This window comes from Homo sapiens, chromosome 17, assembly GCF_000001405.40.
Source record: "Homo sapiens chromosome 17, GRCh38.p14 Primary Assembly".
In the NCBI taxonomy this organism is placed as follows: Eukaryota; Metazoa; Chordata; class Mammalia; order Primates; family Hominidae; genus Homo; species Homo sapiens.
In genome coordinates, this window is record NC_000017.11 from 75,864,866 (window position 1) to 75,879,450 (window position 14,585).

Sequence of the window (14,585 nt, forward strand, 5' to 3'; positions counted from 1 at the left end):
ATTTCTGGTCCCCCTTCCCAGAGTTAGGGGGCTCTTCTCCACTTCCCTGGCAAGATGCAAGGTGGCAGTTTTAGTCATTTTCATCCTCTTTTTCCCCTCCTTAAGCTTATCTCTCACCTAAATAATAGAATGATTTTGAAACTTCAAACCCTTTTTTTTTTTTTGAAATGAGGTCTCACTCTGTCACCCAGGCTGGAGTGCAGTAGTGTGATCTCAGCTCACCGCAACCTATGCCTCCTGGGCTCAAGCAATCCTCATACCTCAGCCTTCAGAGTAGCTGAGATCCCAGGTGTGCGTCACCATGCCTGGCTAATTTTTTTTTTTTTTTTGTATTTTTGGTAGAGATGGGGTTTCACCATGTTGCCCAGGCTGGCCCTGAACTCCTGAGCTCGTGATCCTCCCGCCTCAGCCTCCCTAAGTGCTAGGATTACAGGCGTGAGCCATGGCGCCCAGCCGAAACTTCAAATCTGATTGTACTGTTTCCCCATGTGAGACCATGCCCTGGCTTCCCATTGTTCCTAGGAAAAGTCCAGAATCCTTACCAGGCTCTGCTCTGCAGGACCTGGCCTGCCACCTCGGGCCTCTCACCCTTCTGCCCTGCACTGCTGTCCCCTGCAGCGCCCTGGCTGGTCTCGAGCCCACACCCATCCTTTCTGTCTTGTTAACTCCTCCTTGTCTTTCAGGCCTCAGCAGTCCTTTCTTCAAGGAAATGAGCCCTAGAAATGGCCTTCTGCCAGCCCCATTAGGGTTCCTTCTTATGGCCACTGTCCTTTTCTTTCTTTTTTTTTTTTTTTGGCAGGGGAGGGGGGACGCGTGGTAAAATATACATAACATAAAATTCACCATTATAACCTTTTTTTTTTTTTTTTTTTTTTTGAGACGGAATCTTGCTTTGTCACCAGGCTGGAGTGCAGTGGCGCAGTCTCGGCTCACTGCAAGCTCCACCTCCCGGGTTCAAGTGATTCTCCTGCCTCAGCCCCCTGAGTAGCTGGGACTACAGGTGCCCGCCACCACACCCAGCTACTTTTTGTATTTTAGTAGAGACGGGGTTTCACCATGTTGGCCTTGATCTCCTGACCCCGTGATCCACCCACCTCGGCCTCCCAGAGTGCTGGATTTACAGGCGTGAGCCACCACGCCCAGCCAATTTTAACCATTTTTAAATGTACACTTCAGGGGCTTTAAGTGAATACGTTGTTGTGCAGCCATCAGCACCATCCATCTCCAGAACTTTATCATCATTCCACACTGAAACTGTCCCCATTAAACACCAACTCCCCATTCCCTGTTGCCCAGCCCCTGGCAACCTCCATCGTATTCTAGGGACCTCATATATAAATGGAATCATAAAGTATTTGTCTTTTTGTGATTGGCTTATTTTACTTGGCATAATGTCTTCAAAGTTTATCCAAAGTGTAGCATATGTCAGAACTTCTTGATTGTTTAGGGATGAATAACAGTCCACTTTGTGTGTGTATATACATTTTTTTTTTTGCTTATTTATTCATGTGTCTATGGACACTTGGATTGTCCCAGGCTGGAGTGGAATGGTGTGATCTTGGCTCACTGTAGCCTCCACCTCCTGGGTTCAAGGGATTCTCCTGCCTCAGCCTCCAGAGTAGCTGGGATTACAGGCTCCTGCCACCACACCCGGCTAATTTTGTATTTTTAGTAGAGATGGGGGTTTCACCCTGTTGGCCAGGCTGGTCTCGAACTCCTGGCCTCAAGTGATCAACCTGCCTCGACCTCCCAAAGTGCTGGGATTACAGGTGTGAGCCACTGCACACGGCCTGCTTTCAGTTATTTTGGATACGTATCCAGAAGTGGGGTTGCTGTGCTTTTCTTTGATAGTACTTAGTACAGTGACACCTATCCCACAGCCGTTTGTGTGGTGCCTGTGAGGACAGGGGCATCTCTGTGACGCCCACTGCTGTATCCCTGGCACTGAGCACTGTGCCCTACAGTGATTAAATATTGTCTTGTTGGCCATGTGCGGTGGCTCACGCCTGTAATCCCAGCACTTTGGGAAGCTGAGGTGGGCGGATCACCCGAGGTCAGGAGTTCAAGACCAGCCTGGACAACATGGAGAAACCCCATCTCTACTAAAAATGCAAAAATTAGCTCAGTGTGGTGGTGCACACCTGTAATCACAACTACTCGGGAGGTTGAGGTAGGAGAATCACTTGAACCCGGGAGGCAGAGGTGGCAGTGAGCTGAGATTGTGCCACTGCACTCCAGCTTGAGAGACAGAGTGAGACTCCAACTCAAATATATATATATATTATATATATAAAATACATAATATATGATAATTGTATATGTATAATATAATATATAATATATATTTGAGTTGGCGTCTCTGTATCTACATAGAGAGACACTCTACATAATATATATATTTTTTATATATATATACAATAGTTTTGTTTTGTTTTAGAGACAAGGACTCACTCTGTCACCCAGGCGGGAGTTCAGTGGTGCAATGGTAGCTCACTGTAGTCTTGAACTCCTGGGCTCAAGTGATCCTCCCACCTCAGCCTCCTGAACAGCTGGGCCTGCAGGCACGCACCACCACCCCGGCTAATTTGTTTTTATTTTTACAGAGACAAGGTCTTGCTATGTTGCCCAGGGTAGTCTTGAACTCCTGAGCTCAAGAGTCCCCTTGCCTTGGCTTCTCAAGGTGCTAGGATTACAGGTATGAGCCACCTCACCTAGCCTAATTTTTTATTTTTATTTTAGGCATGGGGTCTCACTGTGTTGCCCAGGCAGGTCTGGAACTTCTCACCTCAAGCGATCCTCTTGCCTCAGCCTCTCAGATGTTGGGATTACAGGCATAAGCCACTGTGCCCAGCCCTGATACATTATTGTTGAATGAGTGAGTGAAAGTTTCCTATCAAAACGGGTAGAACAAGATGTAGTGTCTGGAAAACTTAGGTGTGGGCTAATCTTAGCCCCTGAAAAACAGATGCTTGGGATCCCCCATGGATCTCTGTCACCCAGGCTGAAGTGTGGTAGTGTGATCACAGCTCACTGCAACCTTGAACTCTGGGGCTCAAACAACCAGTACTCCCACCTCAGGCTTCTGAGTGACTGGGACTACAGGCTCACGCCACCACTCCTGGCTAGTTTTTTATTTGTTTATTTATTTTTTTTTGGTAGAGACGGGATCTTGCTATGTTGCCCAGGCTGGTCTCCAACTCCTGGGCTCAAGCGATCCTCCCACCTCAGCCTCCCAAAGTTTTGGGATTATAGGTGTCAGCCCCCAAGCCCAGCTGTTTTTTATTTATTTTATTTTATTTCAGTCGGAGTCTCCTTCTTATAACCCAGGCTGGAGTGCAATGGTGCCGTCTCAGCTCACTGCAACCTCCGCCTCATGGATTCAAGCCATCATCCTGCTTCAGCCTCCCAAGTAGCTGGGATTAGCCACCATGCCTGGCTAATTTTTGTATTTTTAGTAGAGACGGGGTTTCACCATGTTAGCCATACTGGTCTCAAACTCCTGACCTCAGGTGATCCGCCCGCCTCGGCCTCCCAAAATGCTAGGATTACAGGCATGAGCCACCATGCCTGGCCTGTTTTTTATATTAAAGCAATATTGGGCTGGGCTTGTATATTAAAGCAGCATTGGGCTAAAAATACAAAAATTAGCTGGGCGTGGTGGTGCACGCCTGTAGTCCCAGCTATTGAGTAAAATTCAAAGTTTGAATGTCATTTAAAGATAAAGTACAGGCCGGGGGTGGGCATTGTGGCTCATGCCTATAATCCCAGCACTTTGGGAAGATGAAGTGGGAAGATTGCTTGGGCCCGGAAGTTGGAGACCAGCCGGGTCAACATAGCAAGACCCCATCTCTATTTGGTTCCATATACCCCTGAGGGTGTCAGGAGCACGTGGGGAGAACACGGAGGCTCTCCATCCCAAGTGAGGCCCACAAGGACCACCAGGGGCTTCCTTCATTTCTTATGCATCTCCCAGATCTGACTGTGTGGACGGGGAATGATCTCGCCTTCTAGATTTTGTTTGTTTGAGATGGAGTCTTGCTCTGTTGCCCAGGCTGGAGTACAGTGGTGCGATCTCAGCTCACTGCAACCTCCGCCTCCCGGGTTCAGGAGATTCTCCTGCCTCAGCCTTCTGAGTAGCTGGGATTACAGGTGTGCACCACCATGCCCAGCTAATTTTTGTATTTTAGTAGAGACGGGGTTTCACTATGTTGGTAAGGCTGGTCTTGAACTCCTGACCTCGTGATCTGCCCTCCTCGGCCTCCCAAAGTGCTGGCATTACAGGCATGAGCCAGCACACCTGGCCACCTTCCAGATTTTGAATGTCGGCATCAAATGTGTGTGGGGTGTTTGGGGTTGAACGGGACACAGACCCTGCTCAGTGCTCCAGTAGTCCCCTGTTATCCATGGTTTTGCTTACCCACAGTCTACTGCAGTCCAAAAATGTTAAATGGAAGATTCCAGAAGTAAACAACTCATAAGTTTTAGATCGCATGCCGTTCTGAGTAGCATGATGAAATCTCACACCATCCCACTTCATCTAGCCTGCCTGGGACAAGAATCATCCCTTTGTTCGGGGAATCCACACTGTAGGGACTGCCCGCCCATTGTTTACTTTTAGCCATCTTGGTTACTTACCAGATAGAAAAAACCATAGTGCATATAGGATTCTGTACCATTGCAGCATCAGGCACCCACGGGGGTTCTGGGAACTCATCCCCCGCGATAAAGAAGTACTAGAGTACTTTCCTCCTGGGAGAGATGCAGTAGCTGCCAGCCTCAGCCACACCCAGTTCGGCCCCATCCTCCTGGCCAGGCCTCGGGGAGTCACAGTCCAGCCGCACCCGCTGTGCCTGGGAGGAGAGGGGGTGAAGGGAGGCACTTCTGTGAGTGTTCCTCGGGCCTTGGGAAGGGGAGGACAAGGATGAGGAGAAGGGAGGAAAGAAGTCTGGGGGTCTGTTTCCTCCTGGGGTGTGGGGAGGCCATGGGAGCAGTCCAAGCTCTTCCTCAGGCTGTTGGTTGGAACCCCAGCTCATTTTCCCACAGAAACAAAGCGGGAGTGGAGGTTGGCGCCCTGCCTGGCCCAGAGCAGCCAGGCCCAGCAACCAGCGCCAAAGCCTCGGAAACCCCTCACCCTGCACCATTGTCTGGGCCTGGCGGGGGCTCTGGCGGGAGCTTCTGAGGCCACAGACCCTCGGGCAGCCTTGCCAAGGCTCCGGTGACCATGGGAACTGGGACCCAGCCGAGGGCAGCATATACACAGGCGGCAGCGCTGGGAAGCAGGGCTCTGTGTGTGTGAGTGTGAGGTGTGTGTATGTGTGCGTGTGTGTTTAGACATTTCTTGTTTTTTGGAGACAGAGTCTTGCTCTGTTACCCAGGCTGGAGTGCAGGGGTGTGATCTCGGCTCACTGCAACCTCCGCCCCCCAGATTCAAGTGATTCTTTTGCCTCACCCTCCCGAGTAGCTGGGACTACAGGCACGTGCCACCACTCCCGGCTAATTTTTGTATTTTTTAGTAGAGACGGGGCTGGTCTCGAACTCCTGATCTCAAGTGATCCACCCACCTCAGCCTCCCAAAGTGCTGGGATTACAGGCATGAGCTACCACGCCTGGCTTGTTTAGGCATTTCTAAGCACAAGACACACCTAGGCTGGGCGGTATGGAAAGAGTGTTCTGGACTGGGTAACAGTGGGCAGCCCCCCCAGTACCCCTGTGCCTCAGTTTCTTCCTCTGTAAATGGTAGTGGGAGGGGAACGTTGAGACTAGATCGGTGGTTTTCTCATTTTTTTCTTTTTCACAGTTTCTTTTTTTAAAGGAGCCTTGAATCAAATAGGCAAATGCTTCTCTGATTAAGGTGTTGGCAGGGGTGCTGAGGGACCTCCCCCAGCCTTTCCCCAGCCCACCCCGCTCAGTGCACCTCCTCCTAGGTCTTCTCAGAGCATTGTTGGAAAAGTCACTGGGCTGGAGCAACATGCATTCACACACAGGCGTTCACCCAGGCAGACACTCACACACAGCACACAGACACACACGAAGACATACACACATGTATACAGATATACGCACATATACGCATACACACAAAACACATAGGCATGCAGACCACACACACACACTCACACACACACTCTCACACTCCAGGGTGACAAAGGAAATGCGAGATTGTAGCTAACACTCCAGGCTTCGGAGTCTGAAACTTGGGATCTGAAGAGCCAGCCCCTTGCTAGCTGTGCACCCAGGGGCCAGCCAATCCCTGGCTCTGAGCTGCAAAGCTGCAATACAGGGATATGGGATTAAAATGCTTGTTGCAGGCAGGGTACAGAACCCCGTCTCTACATTTTAAAATGTATTTTATTTATTTATTTATATTTTTTATTTATTTATTTATTTATTTTTTGAGACAGAGTCTCGCTGTTTTGCCCAGGCCGGACTGCAGTGGCGCTATCTCGGCTCACTGCAAGCTCCGCCTCCCAGGTTCATGCCATTCTCCTGCCTCAGCCTCCCGAGTAGCTGGGACTACAGGCGCCCACCACCGTGCCCGGCTAATTTTTTGTATTTTCAGTAGAGACAGGGTTTCACCGTGTTAGCCAAGGTGGTCTCGATCTCCTGACCTCGTGATCCGCCCGCCTCGGCCTCCCAAGGTGCTGGGATTACAGGCGTGAGCCACCGCGCCCAGCCAATGTATTTTATTTTATGTATTTATTTTTGAGACAGGGTCTCGCCCTGTCACCCAGGCTGGAGTATAGTGGCATGAACATGGCTCACTGCAGCCCCAACCTCCTGGGCTCAAGGGACCCTCCCATCTCAGCCTCCCAAGTAGCTGAGACCACAGGCGTGCACCACCATGCTGGCTTTTTGTTTTTGTTTGTTTTTTGAGACGGAGTCTCACTCTGTCTCCCAGGCTGGAGTGCAGTGGCACGATCTCGACTCACTGCAACCTCTGCCTGCTGGGTTCAAGTGATTCTCTGCCTCAGCCTCGCAAGTAGCTGGGATTACAGGCGCCTGCCACCACGCCCAGCTAATTTTTTTTGTATTTTTAGTAGAGACACGGTTTCACCATGTTGGCCACGCTGGTCTTGAACTCCTGACCTCGTGATCCACCCGTCTTGGCCTCCCAAAGTGCTGAGATTACAGACATGAGCTATCACGCCTGGCCAATTTTTTTTTTTTTTGAGACGGAGTTTCACTCTATCGCCCAGGCTGGAGTGCAGTGGCGCTATCTCAGCTCACTGCAAGCTCCGCCTCCCGGGTTCACGCCATTCTCCTGCCTCAGCCTCCCGAGTAGCTGGGACTACAGGCGCCCCCCACAGTGCCCGGCTAATTTTTTGTATTTTTAGTAGAGACAGGGTTTCACCATGTTAGCCAGGATGGTCTCGATCTCCTGACCTCGTGATCCGCCTGCCTCGGCCTCCCAAAGTGCTGGGATTACAGGCGTAAGCCACCGCGCCTGGCCCCAATTTTTTTTTTATTTTTGTTTTTTGTAGCGATGAGGTCTCACCATGTTGGCCATACTGATCTCAAACTCCTGGGCTTGAGTGATCCTCCCACCTCAGCCTCCCAAAGTGCTGGGATTACAGGTGTGAGCCATCATGCCCAGCCTCAATATTTTTTTAAAGAGATGTTTGTTTCCCAAACTTCCACGCAAGACTCTGGAGCTACAGGCCACTCTGCAGATGGCATGCTTGCTGAGTGGCTGTGTCTGTGGCCACAGGTGTGACTAGTCATGCCTGAATTCCACCAAGAAAGCACCAGGCCTGTCTAGCTCACATTCCAGGACATGCCAACACTTCCTGCAGGGTCAGAGACCAGAAGGTTCCCTGGCGAGGGGCGCCTGTGGGGTAGGGAGTGCCAAGTTGGGGGACAAGATGAGACAGCAGGTGGCCTGAGGGGTGGGAGCGGTCCTCTGCAAGGTAGGAGGCTTGTAGTAGGTGGTCCAAGGAGCATCCAAGGGGACAGCGGGGCAGCCTTCTCCACCAGCCCCTTCACTGCCGGGTGAGCTGGGGACCCATGGCTGCCAAGGGAACGATGTTGAAAACACAAAGCACCAGGGGCAAGGAGGCCCCGCCCGGAAAAACAACATCCTGGCTGCTAGAGCCCAGGCAGGCTCTATGGGAGGGGCTATTTTTAGCTGCTGAGGCTGCTGGGGCTGGACTTGTATGGCCTTGCTGTCTGGCTGCATAACTCACCCATTATCCCGCCTGACCTTGAGCTGGGCGTCTGTCTGAGAGGCCTCTCTGTCTGCCCTTGCCCTCGGCCACAGCCCCTCTCTGGGGTGCACCTGGGCCACACAGAACCCAGGCAGGAGTGAGCTGGCCTGGGCCTGGAAACACACTGGACTGTAGCCTCAGGGCGCCCCAGGCCTGGCTCAGGTTCTAGGGCAGCAGAGGGCACTGGGCCCTCCCAGAAGAGAGGCAGAGGCTCTCCTGGGGCACAGGTCACAGGTGTCCCCAGCATGGAGGGCAAGAAGATTCCAGAGGGGGACATAAGTCCTTTTATTTTTTGAGATGGAGTCTTGCTCTGTCGCCCAGGCTGGAGTGCAGTGGTATAATTGATCTCGGCTCACTGCAACCTCTGCCTTCCGGGTTCAAGTGATTCTCCTGCCTCAGGCCCCTGAGTAGCTGGGAGTACAGGCACCCACAACCATGCCCGGCTAATTTTTGTATTTTTAGTAGAGACGAGGGTTTCACCATGTTGCCTAGGCTGGTCTCGAACTCCTGACCTCAAGTGATCTGCCTGCCTTGGCCTCCCAAAGTGCTGGGATAACAGGCATGAGCCACCGCGCCCGGCCAGGACATAAGTTCTCTTATTGTAGATGTTCTGGGCTCCAGCCACACCCTGGGCCGGCTCTGTGGGCTGAGGGCTATGTGTGAAGGAAGCTCCAGGTCTCAAAACTCTCTTGCCCACGCCCAGGGGTCCTGCCCTGTTCCTGGAGGGGTGATGCCTGCATTTAATGCTGGGCACAAACAGTACAAACAGCAAAGGCAGGTCCAGAACTAGGCTGCGGCATGAAAGATAAAAATAGCTGGTGGGAGTCAGGCCATCCCAAGTAAACACTCAAGCAGCCAGGACGGCAGTGGGGCTGGAGAAGCCACCTCTGGCTGCCCGTGCTGGGAAAAAGGGAGTGGGGGTGCCCCAAAGGGCAGGTACCCTGTTCCAGCCCCCTTCTCCCAGGCCAGGGCTCCCTCTCAACAGGAATCCTGGGACGAGGGGCTCCGGCCCCTCTCCTGCCTGCCCACTCAGCCAGCTTACAAATGAGAGCGGTTCTGGGAATCCTTGGGTAGAGAGGATGGAAAAGGAGTCATTCATTCAACAAGTGTTTATTGAGCATCTACTACATGCCAGACACTATTCTAGAAACCTGGGAAAGGAGGGGTTAGGGTAGCTTGGAGCTGTCCCAGCTGTAGCTCTGTCTCCCAGAAGTGAGGTCTGCAGGGGAACAGGGTCTGGGGGTCCTCCTGCCTGGGAGAGGGAAGGCTGAGTGTATAAAAAGGTGGAAGCCTCTAGAAATGAGAAGGCTGGGTGTGTGGGACTCATGCTGGTGCCTTCCCAGACGAAGGAGAGGGCCCAGAGGAGGCAGCTTCCTGGAGCAGAGACGGCAGCAGGAGCGCCCGTGCCCGGCATCACCTCCTCTTCAGCACGGATATGCAGGACTTCTTGAGGGGCCCGATCTGCAAGTGGGCGTCCACACTCTCCAGGAAGAAGGCAGGCTTGAGTCTGTGGGTGAAGAGCCCCGCAAAGTGACTGTCCAGGCGGCTCTGGAAGGGGTCAATGGGGGAGGCCGGGATGCCACCCCGGCGGGGCCGGGAGGCCTTCAGCCTCCGCAGGAGGCTCATCTTGCCGTCCCGTACAGCATAGAAGGCCAAGGCACGGTCAGCGTATTCCAGGCAGACCCCAACCGTGGGCGAGAAGGGGTGGGGCAGGGGAGCCTCCAGCCCATGAAACCAGACGGAGAAGCTGCGTCCATTCCACTGCAGGCAGCAGGAGTGGGCGTTGCGGCCCAGCCGGCCGCGGTCGTAGGGCTCTTGTGGGGAGAAGTCTTCGGCCATGACCCCCATGCTGACCCAGCCCTCGATAATCTCCACCTCCCAGTAGTAGGTGCCTCGGTCCAGGGCACCCTCGCCCAGCACCTGCTCACAATGGGTGAAGCGGGTGGGCGACAAGGGGTAGTTGATAGGACACAGCACCCTCTTGACACCTTTGGTTCCAAACAGCTGCAGGAACTTGTCTGCTGTGTCGCTGTCCAAATCCACAATATAGGCAACTGATCCCGTGGACAGAAGAGAGAGGCAGGGCTCAGGGCCAGGCTCAGAGGGCACGGCCCCTCCCCAAGTACCCACCCCCCCAAAACACAGCCTCTCCCCTGCTTTCCAACCGGCACAACCCAGCCCCGCCGGGGACCACCCCAGGAGCTGCCCTAGCTCTCCCCACAAACTGGGGAGAGGAATCCTAACCCTTGTGTGCCAGGGCCCTGCTGGGACCAGCCCAGCAGCCCTGGGAGGGCCCAGTGTGAGTGGAGGGGGCACGGGCGTCCACTTACACTTGAGGAAATAGTCCCTGGGAGCTTCACTCTCCAAGAGGTTCGTACTCTCGAGGTCTTGGGGCTCAGCATCAGCTGTAGAAGAGGAGACAGTGGTGAGAACGCCCCCAGACTGCCCCCCTCTGAACCTGTGACTACAATCCCTACCCCCTTCACTTCCTCCCAGAGTCCAGAGCCACCAGGGAGCAAGCACCACCCAGATGTGGCACGCTGTGCTCACACACATGCCCGTTGCCTGTGTTCTGCCTCTTGCCCCATGTGCTTCCCGGGCCACAGCCCTCTGGAGCTAGAGGGTGGGCTAGGAGAAGCCCCCTCTACCCCAGGTCCAAGGGGCTGATTGATCCCCACAGGGTGGCAGCTCTAGTCACTGGCAGGATTTGGGCTCCTCCCTGTGCCAGGCACAATTTTCCTCCTCCACTTCTGGATGGGCGCCAGGCCTGGGGGCCTGTGCGAGAGGCTGGCAGAGGGTGAGTCATCGGGGGGGCGTGGGGCGGTGCCCACCTTCCGAGTCCAGCTTCTGTGGCCCATCCTCGTTGCCACCCGGCCCCCTCAGCTGCTCCCACTGGTTGACGCAGGCCACGGCCAGCATGTCTCTCACTGCACGGACAGCTTGGGATGATTTGGTGAAGCTGAGCTCCCTCGGGGGTCCAGGCCCAGGGCCACACCCATCCTCCAGGGCCAGCCTTAGTGCCAGCAGCTCCTGTGCCAGACAAATGCCCATTAAAGTGCTGCTGGCCATGGCTCCTCCTTGCTGGGGGTGGAGGCAGCTCTGCCAGGAAGTCATGCACCCACTGCCTCCTCCTCCCTCCACCCCACCTGTCCCAGCTTCTGTTCCTTCCGTGGCCCCCAGAGCGGCCTTCACCTGCAGGAAGCTGACTGAGTCAGCTTCAGGGACCTGGCTGAGATTCTGGCGGGCTCGGCTCAGGCGGCTGCGCTGTTCCTCCTGTCGCCGCAGGTCACCCTGGGAGCGGCCTAGCATGGCAGCTTCCCCCTCCTCGATGAAGCCCAGCACCTGGGTCTGGAAGCCCTGCAGGGCGGCCGCAGCATCTGCAAACAGCCGGCTCACCCTCTCCCGCTCTGCTACGGCTGCACTCTGCACAGGACGACAGTAGAGGGGGCAATGAGGGCAAAGAACCGTCCCGGACTGTACCCCCCTCCTTCCCTGACCCCGGCTTCCCACCGGCCCTCTTGAGGGGACAGAGGGGCCAGACTGAGCCTGTCCTGGATCTGGGCCAGGTCAGGGGACACTTGTGCTCAGTAGGTATGGGCATGGTTTGTTTGGAGTGGATTGTTCCATGCTGAGGGAGGGGTGTTTGACCTTGATGAGGGCCACTGTGCGCCTGGACTGTGCAATGCCAGCACCCAGCTCGTCCATGCGGTCCTCCACGGCGCTCAGGACTTTGGACTGCTCAGCCTGTGGACAACACCCTCCATGAGTGTGAGGTCTGGCAGAGGCCACAGCCCTACACTCGGGTCCCAGGCCTTGCCAGGGGAGAGAAGGGGGTGACTGGGGAGTGGTATCTGTGCATCAGGTGGGACTGGAGTGGCCACGATGTCCCATAATATGCCAGAGGTGCCTGCAGCCCAGGCTGGTGCCTTTCCTGAACGCCTGGGGGGCGTGCAGGCTGACTGGGTGTCTGCCTCGGGTCTCTGACAGGAGGCCTAGTACAGGGCCGTCCGCTGGTCTCAGTGTTGCTCAGATGAATTTGAGAACTTCCTCCGGCGGGGAAGAGGCAGAGAGTAAGCCAGTTAGGTTGGGAGGTGGGCGGCGGAGGGGTGACTGCACAAGGAGGCATTAAGCTGTCCTGAGGATCACTGTTCCCAAAGAGCCTGCATCCACAGTCCAGGCCTGGAAAAAAGGGGATTCCGGGCAAATCCCCTAGGTCTTATGAGTCACTGCTCCAGGCAGGAGAAACGGAAAATCCCTTGGCCAGAGGCGCCAAGACCGGGCTGGAGGCCAAAGGAAACTGGGGGCGGGAGGTAGAGGCCGCGGCTCACATGCTCCCACCACTGGCCCCCGGAACAGCTGGACAGAGAATCTGTGTGCCCGGTCGCCCTCTGCCGCCCTCCTGCCGCCTGCCACACCCATCGAAAGCTGCTGCCTCAGCCCAGGGCAAATCTGAGCTGAGACCGGCGTGACCCTCCGGGCGGGAGCAGCAGCCACGCTACCGGAACCCCGCGGGCCTAACCCGGCTCCCTCCCGCCTACACCCCCATAGACCCCGGCCCGGCTTCAGGTCCCCTGCCCGCTCTTCGCGTCCTTGTCCTGTTCTCACGTCCCTCCTTCCTCCCTTCCCATCTCCATCACCGCCAGCAGATGACCTTGTCAAGGCTGGAAGGGACCGCAAAGATCCTCAGGTTAGAGGAGGAGATTAAGACCCAACCCGGGAAGACTGGGGGGTCCAAGGTCCTCGGCCCGCTCGCGCGCGGTCGGTCACCAGCCCCGGCTCACCCGAGTGTGCCCCCGGAGCCCACCTCCTGAAGCGCGCGCTCCTGCTCCAGCGGCACCAGCTCGTGGCCGCGGTGCTCCTGTGCGGCGCAGGCCTCGCACAGACACACGCGCTCCGCGCGGCAGTAGCGCTCGAGCGGCCGTAGGTGGCGCGGGCACAGGCTCTCCTCTAGCCGGCGCAGCGGCGGCACCAGGCGGTGTCCGCGGAGGGCGGGGCTGCGCTCGTGCGGGCCCAGGTGCGCGGGGCAAAAGGAGGCGAGGCAGGAGAGGCAGGACAGCGCGGCGGGCAGGGCCGCGCCCTCGGGGCACGCGTCGCAGCGCACTGGCTCTTCGCCCGCGGGCCACGGCTCGGGAGCGCAGGGGGCCGACGGCTCCGGGACACTGGGCAGCGCGCTGGGTGCCGAGGGCTCCGGGGCCAGGGCAGGGGCCGGGCCGGGGCCGGACCCGGGGCCCGAGCCCTGGCGGAGCTGCAGCAGCTCGGACAGCGTGTGGTTCTTGCGGAGCTGAAGGCCGTCGGGGAAGGGCTCCTGGCACAGCGGGCAGCGGGCCGCGCCTCCGGGTCCGCCGGCTCCACTCGCGCCACGATGCGGCCAGAGCGCGCCCAGGCAGGCGAGACAGAAGTTGTGGCCGCAGGGCAGCGTCACCGGCTCCCGGAGTGGCTCTAGGCAGATGGGGCAGCTGAAGGGTCCACTGCCGTCCATGACTCCGCGGCCGCCCAGGGCGCCGCCGATTGTGCTCCGGCCTGGGAGGGACCCGGGCCGTTCGCGCCGCGGCACCTCCCCCTGGGACCTAGGCCAGGGCTCCGGCCCCCGCCCGCCCCCAGCTCGGCCCGCCCCGCAGCACCGCCCGCCTGCGGGCCCGCGGACTCCCAGTCCCCGCCCAGACAACGCAGGGAGGCCTCCGAGCCCGCGCGACCCCCAGGGGAGTCCGCGTGGTCCTAAGGAAGGGCGCTGCTGAAAGGGTGTGAAACTGAGTGAGCGCGGGCGGAGAACGCGAGAGGTACAGTGGAAGGAATGGGAAGGACTCAGCCTCCATCCCTCTGGTCCTTCTGGGCCAGGCCAGCGCTCCGCAGGGGCTGGGCGCGTCTAGCTGTGTCATGCCTGCACCTTTGCGCTCGACCCCTCCCTGGCACCCTTAGCAAAGTTCCTGAGCTGCTGACTGCAGAGAAAAATAACTGCTGATGTACATATGTTTTTGCCCCTTAGCGACTCTTTTTTTTTTTTTTTTTGAGACAGAGTTCCTCTCTTGTCGCCCAGGCTGGAGTGCAGGGGCGCTATCTCGGCTCACTGCAACCTCCGCCTCCCGGATTCAAGTGATTCTCCTGCCTTAGCCTCCCAAGTAGCTGGAATTATAGGCGCTTGCCACCACACCAGGCAAATTTTTGTATTTTTTTGTAGAGACGGAGTTTCACCTTGTCCAGGCTGGTCTTGAACTCGTGACCTCAGGTGATCCACCTGCCTCGGCCTCCCAAAGTGCTGGGATTACAGGCGTGAGCCACAGCGCCCAGCTCCTTTAGCGACTCTTTACCCCAAGTAGGGAACTTGGACTTTTCTAGACCTGAAATGGGAAGTTGACGTCATTCCCTAAGTCCCTTGTCTGAGGA

At 56.4% G+C, this 14,585-nt stretch overlaps 1 protein-coding gene across 3 annotated transcripts, besides 12 other annotated features; it reads right to left on the reverse strand.

The window, feature by feature from the left end:
* Positions 25–184: an enhancer, noted in NCBI's record as "active region_12782". NCBI's record gives its function as "activates an Ori minimal core promoter by ATAC-STARR-seq in GM12878 lymphoblastoid cells {active_cell/tissue: GM12878}" and the evidence as "EXISTENCE:reporter gene assay evidence [ECO:0000049][PMID:35858748]".
* Positions 25–588: a biological region, named in NCBI's record as "H3K4me1 hESC enhancer GRCh37_chr17:73861034-73861534".
* Positions 88–588: an enhancer, noted in NCBI's record as "H3K4me1 hESC enhancer chr17:73861034-73861534 (GRCh37/hg19 assembly coordinates)". NCBI's record gives its function as "activates a minimal SCP1, AML or CMV promoter by ChIP-STARR-seq in primed H9 embryonic stem cells {active_cell/tissue: H9 hESC(primed)}" and the evidence as "EXISTENCE:reporter gene assay evidence [ECO:0000049][PMID:30033119]".
* Positions 3,772–4,698: an enhancer, noted in NCBI's record as "H3K27ac-H3K4me1 hESC enhancer chr17:73864718-73865644 (GRCh37/hg19 assembly coordinates)". NCBI's record gives its function as "activates a minimal SCP1, AML or CMV promoter by ChIP-STARR-seq in primed H9 embryonic stem cells {active_cell/tissue: H9 hESC(primed)}" and the evidence as "EXISTENCE:reporter gene assay evidence [ECO:0000049][PMID:30033119]".
* On the reverse strand, positions 9,299–13,716 carry TRIM47 (tripartite motif containing 47). Of its 3 annotated transcripts, none has more exons than NM_033452.3 (6): positions 13,009–13,716; positions 11,853–11,948; positions 11,397–11,627; positions 11,036–11,234; positions 10,535–10,609; positions 9,299–10,258 (listed from the first exon to the last, which is right to left on the reverse strand). In NM_033452.3, exons 1-6 carry the CDS (start codon positions 13,681–13,683, stop codon positions 9,618–9,620), a joined length of 1,917 nt encoding a protein of 638 aa, NP_258411.2. In that variant the 5' UTR covers positions 13,684–13,716; the 3' UTR covers positions 9,299–9,617. The 3 variants fall into 3 exon arrangements, with proteins under 3 accessions (NP_258411.2, XP_005257844.1, XP_005257845.1); XM_005257787.5 differs by having other exon boundaries at positions 12,986–13,716; XM_005257788.6 differs by lacking the exon at positions 13,009–13,716 and adding an exon at positions 12,856–12,959.
* Positions 11,259–12,174: an enhancer, noted in NCBI's record as "H3K4me1 hESC enhancer chr17:73872205-73873120 (GRCh37/hg19 assembly coordinates)". NCBI's record gives its function as "activates a minimal SCP1, AML or CMV promoter by ChIP-STARR-seq in naive H9 embryonic stem cells {active_cell/tissue: H9 hESC(naive)}" and the evidence as "EXISTENCE:reporter gene assay evidence [ECO:0000049][PMID:30033119]".
* Positions 11,295–11,364: an enhancer, noted in NCBI's record as "active region_12783". NCBI's record gives its function as "activates an Ori minimal core promoter by ATAC-STARR-seq in GM12878 lymphoblastoid cells {active_cell/tissue: GM12878}" and the evidence as "EXISTENCE:reporter gene assay evidence [ECO:0000049][PMID:35858748]".
* Positions 12,175–13,090: an enhancer, noted in NCBI's record as "H3K27ac-H3K4me1 hESC enhancer chr17:73873121-73874036 (GRCh37/hg19 assembly coordinates)". NCBI's record gives its function as "activates a minimal SCP1, AML or CMV promoter by ChIP-STARR-seq in naive H9 embryonic stem cells {active_cell/tissue: H9 hESC(naive)}" and the evidence as "EXISTENCE:reporter gene assay evidence [ECO:0000049][PMID:30033119]".
* Positions 12,851–13,030: a silencer, noted in NCBI's record as "silent region_8990". NCBI's record gives its function as "represses an Ori minimal core promoter by ATAC-STARR-seq in GM12878 lymphoblastoid cells {active_cell/tissue: GM12878}" and the evidence as "EXISTENCE:reporter gene assay evidence [ECO:0000049][PMID:35858748]".
* Positions 13,041–13,420: a silencer, noted in NCBI's record as "silent region_8991". NCBI's record gives its function as "represses an Ori minimal core promoter by ATAC-STARR-seq in GM12878 lymphoblastoid cells {active_cell/tissue: GM12878}" and the evidence as "EXISTENCE:reporter gene assay evidence [ECO:0000049][PMID:35858748]".
* Positions 13,041–14,006: a biological region, named in NCBI's record as "H3K27ac-H3K4me1 hESC enhancer GRCh37_chr17:73874037-73874952".
* Positions 13,091–14,006: an enhancer, noted in NCBI's record as "H3K27ac-H3K4me1 hESC enhancer chr17:73874037-73874952 (GRCh37/hg19 assembly coordinates)". NCBI's record gives its function as "activates a minimal SCP1, AML or CMV promoter by ChIP-STARR-seq in naive H9 embryonic stem cells {active_cell/tissue: H9 hESC(naive)}" and the evidence as "EXISTENCE:reporter gene assay evidence [ECO:0000049][PMID:30033119]".
* Positions 13,551–13,900: a silencer, noted in NCBI's record as "silent region_8992". NCBI's record gives its function as "represses an Ori minimal core promoter by ATAC-STARR-seq in GM12878 lymphoblastoid cells {active_cell/tissue: GM12878}" and the evidence as "EXISTENCE:reporter gene assay evidence [ECO:0000049][PMID:35858748]".

Bases quoted from the DNA above. Each gene is read 5' to 3' on its own strand.
- TRIM47 (NM_033452.3), bottom strand. From the start codon at position 13,683: ATGGACGGCAGTGGACCCTTCAGCTGCCCCATCTGCCTAGAGCCACTC. The intron at 10,610-11,035 runs GTGGGCACCGCC...CCTCTTCTACAG, and splicing joins ACAGAAGCTGGACTCGGAAG to CTGATGCTGAGCCCCAAGAC. The intron at 10,259-10,534 runs GTAAGTGGACGC...CCACGGGATCAG, and splicing joins CAGGGACTATTTCCTCAAGT to TTGCCTATATTGTGGATTTG.